This window comes from Homo sapiens, chromosome 7 (genome assembly GCF_000001405.40).
Source record: "Homo sapiens chromosome 7, GRCh38.p14 Primary Assembly".
NCBI classification, from domain to species: Eukaryota; Metazoa; Chordata; class Mammalia; order Primates; family Hominidae; genus Homo; species Homo sapiens.
The window spans coordinates 137040-158222 of record NC_000007.14 but is presented as its reverse complement, the minus strand read 5'-3'; the positions used below and the strand labels follow the sequence as shown (position 1 = coordinate 158222).

The 21183-nt window shown below is 50.7% G+C and overlaps 2 long non-coding RNA genes across 3 annotated transcripts, besides 2 other annotated features; one reads left to right on the top strand and one right to left on the bottom strand.

The window, feature by feature from the left end:
- Nucleotides 1–2757: 2757 nt before the first annotated feature.
- LINC03014 (long intergenic non-protein coding RNA 3014) lies at nt 2758–8505 on the bottom strand. Of its 2 annotated transcripts, NR_108064.1 has the most exons (3): nt 8091–8505; nt 5676–5782; nt 2758–4814 (listed from the first exon to the last, which is right to left on the bottom strand). It is a non-coding gene; the product is annotated as a long intergenic non-protein coding RNA 3014 (long non-coding RNA). The 2 variants fall into 2 exon arrangements; NR_108065.1 differs by lacking the exon at nt 5676–5782.
- Nucleotides 8760–9054: an enhancer, noted in NCBI's record as "tiled region #13780; HepG2 Activating non-DNase unmatched - State 4:PromP, and K562 Activating DNase unmatched - State 1:Tss". NCBI's record gives its function as "activates a minimal TATA promoter and a strong SV40 promoter by Sharpr-MPRA in HepG2 and K562 cells {active_cell/tissue: HepG2 | K562}" and the evidence as "EXISTENCE:reporter gene assay evidence [ECO:0000049][PMID:27701403]".
- Nucleotides 8785–13779, top strand: LINC03015 (long intergenic non-protein coding RNA 3015). Its single transcript, NR_134325.1, has 3 exons — nt 8785–8894; nt 9605–9691; nt 13412–13779. It is a non-coding gene; the product is annotated as a long intergenic non-protein coding RNA 3015 (long non-coding RNA).
- Nucleotides 18366–19134: an enhancer, noted in NCBI's record as "H3K27ac-H3K4me1 hESC enhancer chr7:139089-139857 (GRCh37/hg19 assembly coordinates)". NCBI's record gives its function as "activates a minimal SCP1, AML or CMV promoter by ChIP-STARR-seq in naive H9 embryonic stem cells {active_cell/tissue: H9 hESC(naive)}" and the evidence as "EXISTENCE:reporter gene assay evidence [ECO:0000049][PMID:30033119]".

Sequence of the window (21183 nt, the reverse complement as noted above, 5' to 3'; positions counted from 1 at the left end):
AAGCCTTTCGAGCATGGCCCTTCCAGGCTGCTTGTCACACTGAGATGTGAACAGAAACAGAGCTGGGTAGGCAGGCATCTCCAGGGACACCTGGCAGAGGGACGGTGCAGCTGCCATCTGGCCGGGTTTGCAGGACGCTCTTCCCATGCAGCGTCTCACATGTGCCTCGCTGGAGTCCTTGGAGGTGGGGATCATTGCCACAGCTTTGCAGATAAAAAGGAGGCAACCTGCCATGGTCACACGGGTGCTCCGCCCATCAGACGTGAATTCATGTCTGTCTGAGCCTAAGCCTCTGAGCATTCTCTGGAGCGCCATGCTGTGTGGACAGGCTGTGACCATGAGCCACTAGAGCCCGGCCTGGGTGTGCCGTAAACCCAGCCCGGCCTTCCATTTCCAGGCCCTCTGAGGGATGTGCCTTTGGCCTCTGAGGCCCTGAGCTCCACGTGGGGAGAGCTCAGCCCCAGGCTGGCACCTGCCATGCCTCCTACGGAAGCAGCCACGGCCCCGAAAGACAAGACACCCTGCACAGAAGGCAGGTCCACAGGCCCTGAGTGCTGGCAACATACGTGAAGGAAAAAGAAACGAAATGCTGGCCAGAAAATTCATGCTCTTGGGCCAACCTCTACTGGAAAAGGCCAGGCGACATTTCTAGACCTTTTGTGTCCCAAAAATTAAGCAGTGGGCTCACACAGCTTTAAGCCAGCAAGCTCAGTGATAGCCTAGCTTTCATTGAAACACATAAGCTGGTCCATCATTCATAATAACCTAACGATGAGTCTTTCCTCATGTTTACGGCTTCAGAAAGAGAAGGTAGCAAGTGACAGGTCTTGGTAATGTCTCCAGTCATGTTTCTTTCATTGTGCCCCGAAAGCAAGGCTGTCCCCGTGGAGGGTGCAGAGTCAGTGGGGAAAAGGGGAAGAGCTCCTTCAGCTGATGACAGACGTGAATGGGAGAACGTAGAGGCTGTTTTCTCATTCCAAAGGAAAAGGAAAAAGAAGAATCAGAAAGGTCCCCTGTCCCCTCCTTCCCTCCAGGCTGGACTGTGTCCCGAAAGGAGGCTGGCCACGGCCCCGTGGCTCGTGGGACTGCCACTGGTTGCCCGGCCGTCCAGGAGGTCTTCATCTGCGGTCTCCCCCTCTGGTGTCTCTAGGTGTTCCAGGACCCTGCAAGCTAAATCCAGTGCTATAAAACAGCTCCTCTGTTTGCAGGGGGCTCTATGCAGAGGCAGCCCCGGCAAATCCCTCCTGCGCCGTGAGGCTCTCCAGGCTGATTTCTCCACCCCTGCTCTGGAGGAGGGAGGCCTCTGAGGCAGGAACAGCCCAGCCCCGGCATTTGCAGAGATGACCACTGGGTCCCGTGTAGGGCCAACCTTCTGCCACCTTCCGGAGTGCCCCCAAATCTGTGTTCTCCAGCCCAGACAACCCCGCATGTCCCATGAAGAAAAGTGCCCCACTGAGGTGCGGGCTGGAAGCCTTTTCAACACTATTCAGCTCCTGCTGAGAAACCTCTCAGGTCCCGCAGAGCGCAATGCAGAGCGGAGCAGGTCCAGGACCAGGGCAGGGCAGAGGGTACAGATGGAGCAGGGCCGCCCAGGATGACGGCTGCAGGTGGAGTTCTGGAAAATTATCAGGATGATGACAGACCAGGGCCGGCGGTCATGGCTGAGGACCAGCCCCCAGACACTGCTGAGGAGAAAGAAACTGTGAAGTCGACCTTATTTTACTCTCAGTCACTAACGTTTCTGGGCCGTTAAAGGCGGATGGCACAGAAACAGGCTGAGTCCCTCCAACCCCACGGAACCTGTCCTGACAGGAGAGACCCCCAAAAGGAGCCAGGACGTCCTCGGCGGACACAGGGGCCAGCGTCCCCATGCCCCTGAAGGTGGAAGCCTGGGGCCTACCAACTGGTCCTGAGGTCCGGGTGAGAGGAGGGCCTGTGGCGCGGGGGCTGGGCAGTCACCCTCACACCTGAGGCAGCAGCTCTGGACAGGGACAAGCCCTAGAAACTCCAGCCTCCAGTGAGCGGGAGCCACTGCTTGAGGGGGCTTGGGAAGAGGGATCCTCTCCTCACTGGCTACGGCGGGAAGAGGGCTTAGTCTTCGTGTGCTCAGCTGTGAGAAGCCTAGAAGTGCTTTGCTGTCGTTTCCTCACTTAATAAAGACAGCAAATCAGCCTCACACTGCAGCCTCCTGGATTCTTCCCATTTCTCATTTCCTCACTTAATAAAGACAGCAAATCAGCCTCACACTGCAGCCTCCTGGATTCTTTCCATTTCAACAACCTTATTAACTGGTTAATTCCCAGGTTAAGCCAAGTAACCCGGCAGGTGACTGGGAAAGCTGAAGGTTCCATGCCTGCTCCAATTAATGTCTTCTTAGGACAGACTGGAGAGTTCAGATTCACTCTCTAAAATGACTCAGAGAAAGAAAATTCACTGACTTATGAAAAGGTCAGTCTCCATCACTGACAGCTTCATATCACAAAGAAAGGCATTTTCAGAGCAGAGACACTTGATCACTGGGAATTACTGACTCCCAAGCCCAGAAAATGCCACTGGATACCCGGCAAAAGACCTCCATTAGAGCAGAGGGAATCAGACGGCACTGGTGGGATTAGCAGTTCCAATGGCTCCCAGAGCTCAGAGCTCCCAGCCAGGGCAGCCACACGTGAGGGACTTCTCACCAAATGCAAGTGAGCTTTGAGCTAATGCTTCAGAAACAAACTGGTTTTACAAGCAGGCTTTAGGTTAATGGTACACTTTTTTAAATGAAATAAAAAATGAAACTACTTTTTATTGGCTTATATAAGGGATCTGGAGTCATCAGCCTCTTGCATTGGTTTTATGCATGCAAACATAAAATGGCATTGTTATCTCAGGGTCAAGCTTATATTGGTAATTCTGGGTCAATCCCTCTGGCTTTTCTATAAGTATTTGAAAATACTGATATGATCCTTACAGGACTTCTCAAATCTCCTGGGGGCAGCATCCTTGGCCAGGATGTGCTCAGGGAAGACCACAGGTGCATCTGTCCAATAAATCAATGACTTCCCCCAATTAGCATAAGAGTTAAATATAATCAAACTATGCAAACTAGGTGTACCATGAGGTAAGTAAACCTCCTTAGAAACCAACTGAACACGCTGATCAATATCTGAAATTGTGGTATCTGTATAATTGCAGTAATACTGCGATAATCAATATCTGCATAATTGCAATACAAAAACTACAAGAATTTGATGTAATAAATGAAGATTTTACCTAGTAGGTTAACAAAAAAGAGCATGTGCTGGTAATTTATGTGCTGGTAAACATTTCACAGCTGGATCTCAGGAACAAAAATGCATGCATGCATATACATGGATAAGTGTATTATAAATTTCAGTGAAATAAAGCATCTGCAGTGTACAGTTTACAAATATAGTATACAGTACTCATTTTTGTAAATTGTATATGACCAATTGATTCTCGCAGAAAACATCGGCTCATTTCTGGAAAACTCGTTTCTGCAGGGAGACTGTAGCTGTATTTGACCAGGGAGGGTAGGCCCGACACAGATGCTAGTGAATGTTCTTATTTGCATTAATGAGTAAGACAAAACCAAAACGACAAAGCAGTCAGTGTGATCTCGTTTGTCAGTGACTTCTCTGCTGAACTGAGTAATTGTTTTTAAATGCCAGAAGAGTTCTTCAATTTTTTTGCTGTTCACAGTGCAATGGCTTCAACACTTTTAAGTCTAATCTGCATTATTAACACCTTCTCCATCAGTCTGAGTTAAAGGCCAGCTCTGGTTTGTAGCACTTGCTGGCGTCTGCAGCGTCAATGCATCCACCGTGAGCCACTCCAAGCTTCCACCTCGGCAGGGCTGAACAGGAGCACGCGGCGTGGGACGCCTAAGACAGGAGACGTCTCCTGCGGACCGTCCAGGCTGCTCTCGGGGAGGCTGGCCTGTGGACTTCATCCATGGGCTTCCATGGCCTCTGGCTTCCAGTCCTGTTTTGCCATTGGCGACCCCTGGCAGGGACTGGCAGGAGGCAGGAGGATGAGGTCTAGGTCTTATTCTCCTATGGGGTCATCTTAGTCTCTGTCTGGCCCTCGGTGAAGGTCATGGCATCTTTCAAGGTGACTCTGTGCAACCTGACTTCCAGAATCCATTAACTGCTCCTCCCCTCCTGCCTTCAGACCAGGGTGAGAATAGCTCTGCTATTATTAGGTCCAGAACACTGCACTTTTTTGGTAGTTTTCCAGCCCTCTGCCTATGTCTCTGCAAACAGTCCCCTTACCAAGCCCTCTGGGGATGACGCTAGTGTGCCCTGCGTTCCCGCTGGGACATTGACACAGACAGAACCCATACAACAGCAGAACTCCCCAGAGGACAGCCTCACCACGTGCACAGTGAACGGCCTGTGTGGGTGCTCCAAGACGACAGCCTCACAGCGTGCACAGTGAACGGCCTGTGTGGGTGCTCCAAGACATCAGAGGGGTCCCAGAGTTCTCCAGAAAAAATAACTATTCCACGTAGCTGCTAGCGTGAGACGCTGGGCCAACCCGAGCATGTGGGGAAGGCACCTTATGCTCTGCCATCACCCACAATGTGATGGTCTTGGGGGTGGGGCTTTCCGAGGTGAGTAAGTCATGAGGACCCGTTGTCGTGGAAGGCTTGAGTGCCCTTATAAACGAGGCCTGAGCTGGAAGGCGCTGTGAGGAACAGGCCCTCCCCAGATGGCAACTTGGTCTTGGACTTCCCAGTCCCCATAAATGTGAGAGATGATTGTCTGTTATTTTAAGCTTCCCAGTCAGTTACAGCAGCCAAACTTCTATCAAAAATAATAAAAGAACAGCAATTAGAAGTTTAAGAAATAAAAGGTCTTAGTTTAAATATAAAGAAACTTAAATGTGGCAGGAATTTAAAGAAATAATGGAGGACAAGGAGAAAGCGCATCTGACCTTAAGGCTGGGAACGATTCCTTTGAGTGACTCAGGGGTTGTGGTCCTGGGCCTCAGGGAGGGACATATTCGCCCAGCAGACGGCTCAGCCCTGGTGCACACCCTTCATACAGATGTGCACCAGGGGAAATTCAGTTACGGTTAAAGGGCTAAATGCATACTTCATCAGCTCATCAGCTATAAAAGCAATCCTCTAATAGGATCCGGGAGATGAAAGAGGGAGTGGGGAGGGAAGGGTGGGGCTGGAACCTCCTGGCATTACAGGGTAGGGACCACCGGACACTGTCAGAAATGACGCGACAAGAAATAGCCTTGAGTACTTTCAATTAAAGCAACAAAGGCAACCACAGACAAGCCAGGCCTACTCCCACCACTGCCACTGCTGGCCGCGAGGGAGGAGGCCAGCAGAGCCCAAGTCCCTGGCGCGTCAGTGCCGCTGTGCTGCTGGTCCCCGCTCACCTCTGCCTCGTTTTCGGGCTCTCTGTGTGTCCTGACACCTGTGCCTCTCACTTGGTGGTCTTTCCTCCGTCCCTTCTTGTTTGCCCGGCCCCTCTTACAGTGTAGCACTCTAAAGCAGCTTTTCTTTATGGAAATCTGTTTATTCCAAAGCTCTGAGGCAGTGTTATAAATATTGGTTTAAAACATTAGCCAGGGGATTACTGATAAAATATAAAATAGAAACAATTTCCCAAGGAAACTTCATCTAAAAATACACCAGTTTCCCCTCTCACCTCACTTGAGTAGAGGCACCAGAGGGTGTGTCAGGACCTGTCTCGGGGTGAAGGTCTCACTTCCTCACGCCTCTCCCACATGGCTCCCAGGAATCCCCCAGGAATGGCTTGGAAAAAAAAAATCTGTGACAATGGAGAAGAGTTGCCCCCAAAGAAACGTGCATATAAACAGCTCTTCCAGCTAGAGAAAAAAAAATTCTGCATAAATAATTCAGATTGCTGAGCTTGGTCCCTCATGCCTGTAATCCCAGCACCTTGGGAGGCTGAGGCAGCAGTTTGAGACCAACCTGGACAACATAGCGAGAGCTGGTCTCTACAAAAAATACAAAAAATTTAGCCAGGCATGGTGGTGCCTGCCTGTGGTCCCAGCTACGCAGGAGGCTGAGCTGGGAGGATCACCTGAGCCTGGGAGGCTGAGTAAGCCAGGATCACACCACTGCACTCCAGTCTTGGCGATGGACTGAGACCCTGTCTCAATGATCAATAATAATAATAATTCAGACAAACCAGGTCGAAAAATGTCCTGAGACGGTGAACTCAGGACCCAGCTACCTGGGGTGGACACTGTGGCTGATGGACCGGAAAGGGTAACACCAAAGGGCTCTAGGAGGTGTCTCATGTCTGGCTGTTGTCACTCCCCTTGGCCGCTGAAAGCCTTTCTGTTCCCCAGAATCGAGTAAGGAGCTCCTGGACAGAAGTGGGGAAGGAGTCTTCCTGCTCAGGGCTATGTTACTTAACTCCGTTTAAGTGACAGAGCATGAACAGGTCATATTAGTGTCACATGCACCCGATTTCATTCTCCATTTGCAACAATGAAGACTGTATAACGACATTGTTAAATACCCCAGAATTATAATTAAATCTTATTAGCCAATAGAATCTGAGTGTGCTAAAATCTCTATTAGCCGGGACTGATGTAGCCACGATGGCCATGCTCGGCGCGGCGGCTCACACCCGTAATCCCAAAGCATTTCGGGAGGCTGAGGTGGGCGGATCACGACGTCAGGAGTTTGAGACTAGCCTGGCCAACATGATGAAACCCCGTCTCTACCAAAAATACAAAAATTAGCTGGGTGTGGTGGCACGCACCAGTAATCCCCGCTATTTGGGAGGCTGAGGCAGGAGAATTGTTTGAACCCAGGAGGCGGAGGTTGCAGTGAGCCGAGATCCTGCCATCGCACTCCAGCCTGGGGGACAAAGCCAGACTCCATCTTGGGTGGGGGTGGGGAGGAAGAGGAGAGAGACCAAGCAGCAATATCATCGATAACAAATTACAATCCAAATTCTAGGCGGTGTTCTGGGACTGGTTCACATCCAGCTTGGTCTGGCCTTGCCACTCCCACAGGGCAGGACACACTGAGGTCTGCCTGGGGGTGCCTGCTCTGGCGGCTGGGCTCCCCGCTTTCTGCAGGCTCAGGTGCCCCCTATTCCTGCAGCCCTTCCTGGACCCAGCCTGTCCTCATCTCAAACTCGGGGCTGCTGGCCTGAGCTTGATCCCTTCACCGTTTCTCACTAATACGTCACTCTCGCCTCTTAAAAGATGACAAAGACTCTCTCCTTTGACCACACTCGAGTCAGGCTCCTCTGAGCCCTCCCTGTGACCAGTCCCTGACCTTGGCCGGTTTCGGCCGATTTAGCAAGAATCCTGCTGAGTCGGTTTAGTGAAAATCGTCTACTCTTGGTCCCTGATCAAAGTCCTCAACTCCCACCCTCGGTCTGTGACCACACTGCCTGCCTTTTCAGCAAAAATCCTGTCTATGCAGCTAGAACCCGCCTTGCCCCTGACCCTTCCTCTTAGTAATTTTCTCTCCACTCCCGACCCTACGCCTGGGCTGTCAATTCCCACTTTTTCTATCTGGAGTTGAGCCGGATCTGCCTCCCCTAACCCAACATCTCGCTTTAGCAGCCCCCCCACCTTGAATAAAAGCAGCCTTGCCCTCTTTAACAATTAATAAGCACAGACTGGGACAGGACATCCCCCTCCATCCCAGCGCCCATGCACCCTCAGCCACGGTCCTCAGACCTCAAGAAACCCAGCGGGTGACAAGCTTGGGTGTCAGCGGGGCTGGGATTGCTGCTGGGGGCACAGGAGCTCGGGAGCACTTTGCAGGTGAGCAGGGCCTGGACAGGGGCTTCTCTGCAGCCCACCCCTGGGGAGGACTCCGGGCCCTCGCCCTGGACGGCAGAGCTCGTTTTGCTGTTGCCCTACTGTCTCCGCGACCTTGGGGGTTCACTTAGCACCCCCAGGCCAACACCTGGCCTCTCCATGCACCAACACCTGGCCTCTCCTTCCCTGGCCTGCCGCCCTGCCTGTGTCTGGACTGTGGTTCACCGAGTGTGCACGTGGGCCTCGGAGGCTGCCCTATAGAGCCCAAAGTCCCAGGGAGGAGCAAAGGGGACCAAGTGCACACTCACCCAGCTTCCTCTGCCCGGCAACGTCCCTGCCCCCATCTCCCCTCCACCGCCACCAGGGCCTGCATCCCCATCTGCAAAGGGGACAGGGTGCCCACGCCTTCTGAAGCACGCGCTCTCCAGGCCGCTCTCCGGGCGTCACCCCGCCCTGCTCCCCTCGCCCCTGCACAGCCCGAGTCCAGCCTGGTCGCTGCCATCAGGACGATCAGGACCGACCGCCACCATCAGTGGGGACCGGCCAGGGCGGTTAGGCCCGGTCCGGGGCCCCAGGTCCCGCGTCCCCGCCGAGGCCAGGCAGGGAGGCCTGGCTGCCCCGGGCTTTAGAACCAAAATAAGCCCCGAAATGATTGGCGGCGCCCATGCGCCAGGAGAAAACCTAAAGGACGAACGTTCCCGAGTACATATAAGGACGATTAATATTTATTGCACAACTTTTTTTTTTACTTCCTTGTTAAAGAGGAAAACCTTACGCTAAAAATAAAACGACTAGGAGCCCTTGTGCCTGCGTGGGTGGCGCTCGCGCCTTTAAACCTGAAGCCACAGGGGCTCAGCCCCCCACCCGCGCAGGGCGGCTCCTGCGCATGCGTAAACAGAAGGGGTCGGGGCGCGGCCCAAGACGACGCCAAGGGAGCGGACGGGCGGGGAGGAGGTGGCCTCTGCGCAGGCGCAGAGAGGAGCGAGCGACTCCTGCGCAAGCGCAGAGTGAAGGGCCGGGAACAGTGGAGGGTGCGAGGAAGACAATGGGGGAGGACCCTGAGGCGGCCTCTGTGAGCCGACAGGAACACGTGGTCGATCAGAGAGAGACTCGTAAGTGCACGGAGCTGATGAGGTGACTATGGCGTTGCGCAGGCGTCCTGTAGAGGCGGGTTGTCATCGGCGCAGGCGCGGTGTGGAGGAAGCCCCGGCGCCGGCGCAATGAGGAGGCGGCCGGACTCGGCGCTGGCGCAGTGTGGAGGAGGCTCCGGCGCAGGCGCAGACGCAGGGCGGGCAATGGCCGCCTGGGTCTCTCGGGCAGCCCTGCCCACCTCTCTCGCGTCTCCTGGTCTTGGCCTGCGGCTCTCTTTCTGGCAGGTGCCGCGGCGTCTCCTGCGGGCCTGACCGTGTTCTCCCGCCTAGCCAGGCTCTTCTGCGCTCCTTTTTTGTTGAGATTTTTCCATCCCCTGCACAGGAAGTGTCCTTTAATTACTCCAGTGTTTTTTTAGTTACTTTTTAAGAAACATTTTGGACTTTTCGATACAGAATAGTGTCAAAAAAAAAATTTAACCTTCTTCAGGTTATATTTTAGTGAATGATATTAATATATGTTCCAAAGTTGTATGGGATTTCTAAAATTCTAATTTTTCTGAGTATATGCTACCGATCATAATTATGGTTATGTTGTTGTTATAACCAAATTTCTTTGTCAATTGTGTCTTTTTGAGTATTTAAAGTCATTTCCGCAGTTAATTGCTTCATGCTGATGTAGTTTCTGAAAACTTCACAAGCACACAAAAATCCTAGAACATGGTGTCTTTTAGGAGGTTCGTGAACGGATGGGGAGGACCCTGAAAAGCACTGTGGAATACAGGTTTCTAGTAACTTCAAAATCACATCATTTGGACTGGGTAAGAATTGCTGAAACTTTAATGAAAAGACTGACTGGCTTATAAAACTGCTAACCCAAATAGAATAAAAATTAATTGAATACCGAGGAAATGCTTCACCAGGTTTGCATACTTAATCAGCCTATACTGAAATTGTTTAGATATACAATTTGAATGAACTCCATGGTCTAAGTCAAATTACCTGTGATAACCCATCAGTTATCCATGCTATGTGCCCAATTTGGAGAAACAACTGGCACCCAAGAGGACATAAGTCCGATGTTAAGCATGGACTCATGGAGAACCAAGATGGCTGCCTTGTCCTTCGTGAGTCCTTAAAGCTTTTGTTATTAAAAGTTATGCATTCCATGACTCATCCTGGAAAAGATAAAATGATCCAAATTAAATATGTTGGTGTGGTGACTTACAGATTGTTAAAATAGTTTATAAACAATGTTTAGTTTGTCAAACCCATACTCCTGGGAAGTCAATCAAAGCTTCATGTACATTTGGCTACCTGATGAGGCATTTAAACATTTATAAAGGGGTTTCATTCAGTTGTCATTTTCAATGTATGTGTTCTGGTTGTACTAAAGCTTTCCCATGCAGGAGGGCTAATGTTATAACAGTAGATTACTATGTATCAGTGTATTTTCACCAGGTAAAGAGCTTTTTATGGTTCACTGAGGACAATCAACCCCTTCACAATCTAGAACCCAAAGATGGGATCTTCTGAGAACATCAGAGAAACGCTGCCCTTGGCATCATCACTGCAACAAAACATCAGGATCTTGAACCTTGGGGTCATAATCTCACAACTGAGCAGGGTCACTCTTGGAACTCTACATCCATTGAAACCCTTAAGGTAAAGCTAATCAGGGAAGTTTCTCCCCAGAAGAAGATGGCATCCTTGATGTGAGCAGCTCTTTCTGAAGATCATGGATCAAGACTTCTTACTATCATGAGACTCTTATCTTTGAATGTTTTTCCGTTGCTTCCGCCTCTGTGAACAACAGAAGTGAGAAGGGGGTCTGTTTTGTGCACTTATGGGGTATACTTTTATTTGTGAAGGGCTTTGCAGCCAGCTTTATACATGGATAATCTTATAACTTGATAGATAAAGATGAAGGCCCAGTGTATCATAGGTGAGAAACTTCAATGGTACATATGGTGCCTCATAATCATTCAGAAGCAGAACATTGGTTCACTCCTCTTAACCCACAGCATGGGTTAAAGAGACCATTGCCAAGAGGCCTTCCCTCTTCTAGAAGGGCATCATTTGTTAGGTCCTTTTTCCATGGTTTGGAATTAAAAAGGCAATGACTAGAAACATATCCCTCATGGTAGACTCTGTAGCAGATTCTACTGTAAAGGCTACACAACAGATGTTAAATTCTCTTGTGAAAGTTATGCTAAAAAATAGAATTGGCTAAACAGGAAAGTACCTGTGCAGATGCTGGCACTTAAGGCCTATGGAGAAAACATCAGGTGTTATAGAGAGTCTGTTGTAGGGAATTAACGAAAAGACCACTGAGTTAAGTCAAAGAATGGTCTATTTGAGTTTAGGTGGTCTGGTTTATGGGGACCCTGGCTAAGGAGCATACTCCAAATTCTTGGTGTTAACCCTCTCAGTAGTCATAAGAATAGTCTCCCTGGTGCACTGTATTCTCTCAAAGGTTTTAAATGTTTGCATGAAGCCATCTTTAGAACGTCAGATGGTCTCTCTTCAACTGGAATGACAAGAGCTGAAAGAAATGTGTGACCACGAGGACACCGAAACCGATGAGTGACATGCTGAGACTGGAAATCCAAAATGATAGTAACGGAGAGTGGCGCTAACATCCTAAGTTTTGGTCACACTCTTGCCTAAGTGACAACCTGACAAAGGGGGAATTTTTTAAACAAAATGATGGGAGGCCATTGTTTTGGACTGAGCACTAGGTCCCAACAGACCAAACCGAACCAAAATGGCATCATTCGTGCTAAATGTGACATAATCGAATTAAGACTTTAAGGAAACACATGGGTCCTAGAATAGACCAGGTTTTGTTTTTCTCTTGCAAACAGGACTTTCCAGCATAAGGTGGTATCCTCAACTCAGTCCTTGTTCCTACCTTTGCAAAACTCACTGTTCTGCTTCCTAGTGGGTTTCAAGACCAATGGTGACAGTGACATCAATAACTCAAGTTTCGATCAATCTCTCAAAACTGATAAAATGACCAAAAAGGGGGAATTGTTAAAGCGAACTAAATATGGCCTGAGAAGGACTCCGTACTTCTGTATTGGAGTCCCTGTGAACAAACTGAGCCTAACTTAATAGGTAGACAAGATTGAAAACCTAAATTAGGAGTATGTACCTGTCACAATTGCTGAGTCTCGGCCAGTCCCAGCAGCCGTACTTCAATCACTCATACACTGCTGAATGTTCAAACTGTGTGTAAATAAGGCAAATGCCAACCTGTAACTAATCCAGGTGTTTCTCTACCTCACTTCCCTTTTTTTGTCTATAAATCTTCCACCACGTGGCTGCACTGGAGTCTCTCTGAATCTGCTGTAATTCTGGGGGCTGCCCGATGTGCAAATCATTCATTGCTCAATTAAACTCCTTTAAATTTAATTCAGCTGAAGTTTTCTTTTAACAAGAGTGAGATAAGAATCTGTGTTCTTATCCCCCAGAATGGACAAATCAGTAGCGTTCCTTGTCATTCTTTTGTGGCTGGTTTCACGTAAATATTTTGTGTGTATGATAATAGAATTTGATTTTAATGAATATACTTTAAAAGCAACTTTTTTTTTATTCTTCCTCACCATCGAAGATGGAGAAAAATAAGAAGGGCTGTCTTGCGGTTCCATTTCTTTTGTGGATAGTAAGAAGCGCTGTCTTCTGGTTCCGTTTTTTTTTTCTGGATAGTAAGGATGTTTATCTTACTCTGTCTTCATTGTCCTCAAACCTCAAGTAGTCACTAATACCCTGGCTATGACAGCTTTTATCGTAGTGTTAAATGGCAGATTTATTTACTTGGCAAACATTGTCAAGTCTCAGAAAAATTACCCCATGGTCTTGCCTTCTTCCCTCGTGAATTGCCTTCCACTGATGGAGAGGATTTGATCTGTTCCCTGCTCATCAATTTTTCTAGCTTCTTTGGGATGTCCGCTCTGCATATCTACTAAGGAATTAAGAAATAATGGCTTCAGCAAGAAACAAGGCAGGAAAGTGCAGTGACATGAGGACCATACAGGGAAGGAGCTGTCCCCAAAGGTGAGAATGGCCCTGGACAAGGGTTCTTGCTGTGACTTCACTCAGACCAGACCACCTTGACCTTTTCATCACCGTGCCTCAGCGAAGTCAGTCGTTGATTCTCTGATCGGTTACTGAGATCATCATGAAATCTCCCTCGTACGAGAGTTGCAGAACTCTGCAGTGTCAATCATAGTGTTTGGGAGAGAGGACTTTCTACCTCCATCCTTTTTCTGAACCTAAATGGAATGAAAATTAGAACTGTTGCTTATTCTTTGAGGTAATTTCAAATTCCCTTATCCAAACCAGTGTTACAAAAGGACTCCAGTTTGCCCCCCAAATCGGTCTATTAAGAATGTAATGATGAATTTTCATCCAAATCCCACAATATGAGCTTTTCTAAAATAACTCTAGAAACAAATATGACAATATTCCAAAATTCCTGCCCTCAGACCTTATTTTGTATTAGAGTTATCTGTGTATCCATTTTGTATCCCCTGAAGCACGATGAGCCACTTGAGGCCAGGTACAGCCATGGCGTGTATCCCAGAGCACCTGTGAGAATGTCTCACAGACAGTCCGTCTCTCCTGAATATGAAGGGATGGGCACCAGCCGGAGCCACCATCCGTGTGACTGGCCCGTGGCCGCCTCCAGCTCACACAGAACCTCTGCACGCAACGGAAAAAGGTCTCCCCTGGGTGAATGGGGTGGGAAACGTGTGCCCCTCCAGGCGGCTGGTGAGCAGAGTGCTCCCCTCGGCAGGGTGTGACTTGTACAGCTCCACCACGGGCCCTGTAACAAGACAGGCTTCGACCCTGCCCTCTTGCAGCTCGTATGTATGAGGGGCAGCCCAATAAATAAATAAGCAAATCCATGCTGTCATTTCAGGTATTAGCTAGAGCTTTGGAGGAAAAGCAGGCTGAGGGGAGGGAATGACGGGCAGGAGCAACGCAGGCAGCAGGCCAGGGAGGGGCCGAGTCGGGGCCTGGGTAACAGGCAGTGCCATGTATAAAACGTTAAAAAGTGTGAAAACCAGTTTTACATACTGGGTAGTTAATATTTCCATCTTCCCCCCATTTTGGTTTCAGTTCATTCTAGGTTTCTTTTCATTTCCTGTATTTCTTCGACACTATAGTTTTGTGCTGGGTCAGGCCAGCCCAGGGTGAGTCCCACTGATGGCTGCTTTGGGTGAAGATTGAAGCCTCCCCTCCAGGGGCTGCAGCGCCAGTCTCTGTGTGTGGCCTGGTCACAGCACTCAGGCGTCTCCGACCAGCAAGAGTGTCTCGGGGACACTGGTTCTCCCCTCAGGCCTCCGACTTGCAGGGCCTGCCTGGGGGTGGCCAAGGGGATGCTTGTGTGTCCACACACAGTGTGAACACAGCATCTGAGGGCGCCCCAGTTTCCTCTGCAGACTTCAGGAGAAGATTCTCTAAGCAAAGTTCACAAAGAAGCAATAGGACTGAGGCAGGGTAGGGGAAATAGGTTGATACCAAAATACAGGGAGAAGTGCCCTAATGTGTGCTGAGGGTGCTTTGGAAAGATTTCAGGTGACTCAGCCGGGGTCAGGCATCTTGTGAAGACAGGAGAACTGCGGGCCTTTCTGCAGCGTGGACAGCAGGTTCCCTCTCCTGGGCGTTCCCTTGCCTTCGGATTTGGGGGGTTTCCCCTGGCAGGGCTGGGACCCCCTGCAGACAACGGGGACCTTCCAAAGTCTGGGAAAAGAAACCAGACCAGGTACTGGGACGCAGGTCACCAGGAGCCGGCAGCGTGGGGCCCAATAGTGAGGCCCTTCCTGGGCCTGTGGCCTCCTCAGTACTGTGAGGCTGCCAGGCTGAGAGTTTCTTTCCAATCTGAAGTCCTCCACTAGACAACTGAGGAGAACCTGCATCTGTGCGGGTCTCCTGGTCTCCTTGGGTGTGATGAGGGCAGAGACCCCCCTACAGGCCACAGAGGAGTCCACTAAGGCTCACCCAGGCCTGCTGCTCCAAGGACCCACCCAGTCCCTAGGATTTGTGCTTGAAGCCGCCACTGCCCTCACGTGCGTCCTGCCCACGCTATGCTCACACGTGTCACACGCCTGGCCTTCCACGCACGAGTGCTCCCACATGCTGAGAATTAGCCTGTTCTGTGAAGGGCCACCCGTTCTCGTCCGTCCTCCTGCGGTCGGACACTTGATGTAATCAGGGTTTGGAGACGTTATCAATAAGGCTGATAGACATTCTTTTACAGACACGATTTTTATTTCTCTTGGGTAAACACCCGGGAGTGTGGTCGCTGGGCAGTCGGGAGAGTGGCTGTTCCGTTTTGCACTCCCAGCAGTAGGGAACGAGAGTTCTAGTCACTGTGCGTCCTTCCCAACGTGCAGTTGCCAGCCTGTCTCTTTCTAAAGGCATATTGCTAGTGGGTATGAAATATACCGAATTTCTTTTTATTTTAAGCTCAATTCCTTTACGTGTTTTCTTCCTAGTCCCCAGAGTGGCTTCTGTCCCCGAACATAGGTATGAATGGTGCTGAGCACTGGACCACAGGGTGAGCTCCGGTGGGAGGGTTTTGGCAGGCCATGGAGATGAGTACTTGAATTAGGCCCAGATTGCAGAGTCAGGAATTGCTGGGTACAGCCTGTCTGCATTTTGTTTTGGCTTCAAACTTTACAACATTCATTTTAAGTTCTGAGGCCTTAGGTCCTAAGAAAATGTATTATCTGGAACAAATGCAATTGCCAAAGTCTACAATGACTTTGCTTTGTGCCAGACCTCCTGGAATATGCCCATTCCTGGTTCACAGATGTCTGTCAGGCCTGCCCAGGGACCAGGTCCCATGCTGTGGACTCTGACCCCATGCACGGAGCAGTGGAGGCTGCCTGCTCGGCCTGGCTGGCGTCTGCCCCAGAACCGTATCAGACGCCTGCTGTACATGCAAACACAGCGCCCTTGGCTCTTGGCAGGCCAGTCTCCGCTAATCACAGACAAACCTCTAGTCCAGATTGAGGAACATGTGGTACCACTCTCATCTTCCACACCCAGCACAGACCTCAGTGACTGATTGCGGCTGGTGCTGCTGTGAGCATGGACGCAAGCTCTGCTTCCAACAGCAAACTTCAGAAACCCACTTCCAACAGGGAAGGCTCGCCCCCGACAGGAACACAACCTCAGAAACCCACTTCCAATGGGGAAGGCTCACCCCCAACAGGAAGACAACCTCAGAAACCCACGTCCAATGGGGAAGGCTCATCCCCGACAGGAACACAATCTCAGAAACACACTTCCAATGGGGAAGGCTCGCCCCCGACAGGAACACAACCTCAGAAACCCACTTCCAACGGGGAAGGCTCACCCCCGACAGGAAGACAACCTCAGAAACCCATATGTCCAATAGGGAAGGCTCATCCCCGACAGGAACACAACCTCGGAAACCCACCTCCAACGGGGAAGGCTCACCCCCGACAGGAACACAACCTCAGAAACCCACTTCCAACATGGAAGGCTCACCCCCAACGGGAACACAACTTCAGAAACCCACTTCCAACATGGAAGGCTCACCCCCGACAGGAACACAACCTCAGAAACCCACTTCCAACATGGAAGGCTCACCCCCAACGGGAACACAACTTCAGAAACCCACTTCCAACATGGAAGGCTGACCCCCAATGGGAACACAACCTCAGAAACCCACGTCCAACAGGGAAGGCTCGCCCCCGACAGGAACACATTTCTATCTCCAGGCTGATGAATACTGAGACAAAATGCAGCACAGTCCTCCACACGTCCCTTTTGCTTTGGAGGTGGTGGAGTGACGCCCTTGATAACCAGCCTGTGCTGCCTGAGTGGCCCTTTGAGTTCGGGTCACAGTGTCAGGCACCAGCTCCTTCCACTCAGCTGTGCAGACTTGCAGTGGGTGCGTCTGTGACAAGCATTCTGCCCACCACCTGAAATTGATCAAGTCTTTCCTGCATATTCCAAGTCTTTTCTCTGTTGATGGAAAAACCAAACTCTGTAAAATATTTTAAAGAGGTTTCTTCTGAGCCAGTGAGTGACACAGCCAGACAGACACGGTCCCAGCGAGTCCTGAGAACGTGTGCCTGAGGAGATCGGATTGCAGTTTGGTTTTGACATCTCAGGGAGGCAGGAGTTATAGGCAAAGACATACAGCCATGCATGGCAGGTCCACACTGGCTCGGCCTTTGGAGGTGGGACACCTTGAAGGGGGCTTACAGGATATAGATGGATCCAGAGATTCTTTGAGTTCCTGTTGGTGAGAGGAGCAAGGCTCTGTCTAAAACTTGGAACGTTTAAGTTAAGATCCTGCTACAGGATCTGTAGCCTACAGGTGCAGCCTCAGGTCCTGCTCAGCCTGCAGGTGGGACCCACCCCTGCCTTGTGCGGCCTCGGGTCCTGTTATAATTCGGTATCCTATTGCCACCAAGAGTCTGCTTTGTCAGTCTTAAGATCTCCGTTTTAACATTACTGCTGGTCAGTTGTGTCTAAACTCCCAAAGGGAGGGAGTATGACGAGGCATGTCTGACCCCCTTCCTGTCAGGGCCTGGAACTCAGCTTTTCAGGTTTCTCTGGGTCCCCTTGACCGAGAAGGGTCATTCAGTCAGTGGAGGGGGGGATTCAGGGTTATGCTTTTAGTTCACACCTCCAAAACAGGAGGCTACCTTTTAAAATGAAGTAATCACCAGTGACGTGAAAATCAGAGTTGACTTGAGAACCAGATGATGGGTGCTTCCAAAAGGCTCAGACCTTGGCCCCCAACCTGCCTCCCATGCTCAGCACTCAAAGACCTTGGCCCCCCCACCTGCTTCCCATGCTCAGCACTCAAAGACCTTGGCCCCCCACCTGCCTCCCATGCTCAGCACTCAAAGACCTTGGCCCCCCACCTGCCTCCCATGCTCAGCACTCAAAGACCTTGGCCCCCCACCTGCTTCCCATGCTCAGCACCCAAAGACCTTGGCCCCCCACCTGCCTCCCATGCTCAGCACTCAAAGACCTTGGCCCCCCACCTGCCTCCCATGCTCAGCACTCAAAGACCTTGGCCCCCCACCTGCCTCCCATGCTCAGCACTCAAAGAGAAGGAGGGCAGGAGGAGCCTGGCCACTCCTGAGCAGCCTGGGAGGCCTTTCTCTAGGAGATGGCCAGGCGTGCACGGTGGGGTGTGGGGGCACCTGCGAGGAGACCCGTGCAGGCCATGCCTGAGACGTGCGGAGGGATGGGGACAGGGCTGCCTGTCAGCCCACCAGGCTGCCAGAGCACCAGGGTTTGTCAAGGGCTTTCTGCCTTCCCTGGGGCTGGACACTCCCTCCAGGCTGCAGCTGAGTCGGGGGCACAGCCACAGTGAGTGCTCAGAATCCCCCTCCTCATGGACAGTGCTGGGCGCTCAGTCTCCTGCAGGAGTGCCCCAGCCTGAACTCATGCAGCAGGGCTGTCCATCAGATTCACCTGACCCCTAGTCATGCCCGAATCCCTGCAGGATGGAGGACCTGTGGGAGACTTCGCTCCAGCTGCAGTAAGTCAAGGTCAGCTAGGGCCACGAGGGCCCCACCGGCCAGTGTCCTGGCCGAGGCTCCCAGACACCAAGGCCGCCCAGGCCTCCAGAGCAGCAGCCAACTGCCCCTCATTCCCCGGCCTCACTCACAAATAGCCTTCACCCAGACAGCCTTCGCCCTGTGCACCGCGGCTGGGGCTGGAGGGGAGGCAATGGCCGTCTCCCGTGTGTGCACTGGACGCCCGGAATCTCAACAGCACTCACACTGGAACTTGAAGGTGCCCCGGGGAAACCCACGGAAGCACAGTGGTGCCTCTGGCTGCCTGGAGCCTACCCCAGTTCCTCCCTGGCAGTGAGAGAAAGCTGCAATCACCCATCAGCAGGCTTTATTACAGAAAAGGAAACGCAAATTGGGCCTCCGCTCCTGCTGGGAAGCATGGGAACATAAGGTGGGAGGAAGATGGAAGGGGGAACAAAGAGAAACACTGCAGACCGGCTGCAACCAGAGGCTGCAGGTGCAGGGCTGAAACTGAATCATCGCCATGCCAGCAGGAGTGGCCTGCCTGGAGTAACCCACCCTTCCAGGGAGCACAGGCTGGGTGCCCTCCCCAGGGCCCAGGCAGGCCCCTCCTCTGGGTCTTGGGGCCCCGGTAAGAGCAGGAGTTGGAGAGGGTGGGCTCCTCGCCTCCACTTTCTCTGTCCTGTTAGAATTCTAAAGGGCGGGGCATTTTCTGTGTTAGGGAATGCTCCAGAAGACTTATGTGACCTCAACTTCAGCTAAATTTCTAATAGGAAAAGTTGGTAAGCTAAACAAAACCCTAAGCCCCCTAAACAACTGAAAGGGGCCCCAGAGAAACCTGAAAAGCTGAGTTCCCAGCCTCGATGGGAAGGGAGGCCCGCCACGCTTCATTATACTCCTTCCCTTTTGCAGCTTAGATGCAACCACGGACCAGCATTAGAGGTCATGGAGATCTTAGGACTGACAGACAGACTCTTTGTGGCAATAAGATACCAAATTATAAACAGGACCCATGCAGGCAAGGGTAAAGTCACACCTGCAGGTCATCATCTTGCTACACAGCTTCCAAATTTTAGACAGAACCTTCCTCCTCCAACCAAATGCAAATTAAAGAATCTCTGAATCCACCGATGTCCTGTAAGCCCCAGCTCTGAGATGTCCCTCCCTTTCAGGTCAAACCAATGCCGACCTTCTGTGCACGGCTGTATGTCTTTGCCTGTAACTCCTGCCTCCCTGAAATGTTAAAACCAAACTGCGGCCGGGCGCGGTGACTCACGCCTGTAATCCCAGCACTTTGGGAGGCCGAGGCAGGTGGATCACCAGGTCAAGAGATCGAGACCATCCTGGCCAACACGGTGAAACCCTGTCTCTACTAAAAATACAAAAATTAGCCGGGCGTGGTGGCGGGCACCTGTAGTCCCAGCTACTCGGGAGACTGAGGCAGGAGAATCTCTTGAACCCGGGAGGCGGAGGTTGCAGTGAGCCGAGATCGCGCCACTGCACTCCAGCCTGGTGACACAGCGAGACTCCATCTCAAAAAATTAAAAAAAAACTGCAACCCGACCTCAGGTCCTTTCTCAGGACTCCTTGGAGCCTGTCTCCCAGGCTGTGGTTGCCCCTGTTGGCTCAGAAATAACCTCTTTAAAATATTCTACGGAGTCTGGTTTTTCCATCAGCAAGTTTAACTCTAAAGTGGACATTGTTTTCCTTTCATAAAGGGCTGGGGCTTCCCAGATGATAATGAAAAAATTAAATTTAAATGTTATTTAAAATACATTTCTTCTTTCATTATGAAAGTAACAAATGGAAGAACATGTTTCCAAAGCCATCATGGTTTGTTAATTTTTAAAACCAATGAAGATAGGTTAAAAAAGTGAGCAAACATATTTTACATATATTTTTAACTTGAAAACTTATACATATTTACTCATTAATTTCTATAGTAAACTTATTGAGGTATAATTTTCATACAATTGAGAAAAGGAAAGAAATTGTGCTGAGGGATGATGCAAGTCCTTTTAAACGATCAGGCCCAGAGAGGCAGTCAAGTGAGGCGGCAGTGACTTCCCACTCCCCGCCTTGGAGCTGTGTATTCGTCTCTTGAAACGCTGGCTGTTGCCTCAGGTTAACCTCCTAGTGCAGCAGCAGACACTGCAACTCACACCCTACGGCTTAACAATATAGAGCCAAGCAATAGATTATGTTACTTTAACATAAATCCTTGGTCAACAACTTGGAACAGCCTCTTCTTTCCCTTGAAAAACCCACCTGTAACAGCTGCTAATAGGAGGTGTATTCAGGGCAACTTGAATCTACGCTTCCGGGCAGCAGTCCTCAAGCTTCGCCCAAACTCCCTCCTTACATGAATTTTGCCTCAGGTCTTGCCTTTGAGTCCAATTCAATGTGATGTTCAGTTTTCAGTCATACAAGTTGACAAGTTGTGACCAATGTAAGCCATGCATCCACCGTCCTGGTCAAGATGCATGAGGCTTCTGTGACTCCAGAGAGGCCCTCCCACCCCTTCCTAGCCAACGCCCCAGTCTTGGACCTCCAACCCTCCCTCTGGTCGTCATCACCATCTGGCCACTTCTCCATTCATGAATATTCCCACCCCTTCCTAGCCAACGCCCCAGTCCCAGGCCTCCAACCCTCCCTCTGGTCGTCATCACCATCTGGCCACTTCTGGCTCCATTCATGAATCTAGATATTTCCATATAGGGACAAGCTTGTATTTAGCATTGGTCTGCTGATTGAAGTTCTTCTTCTTCTTT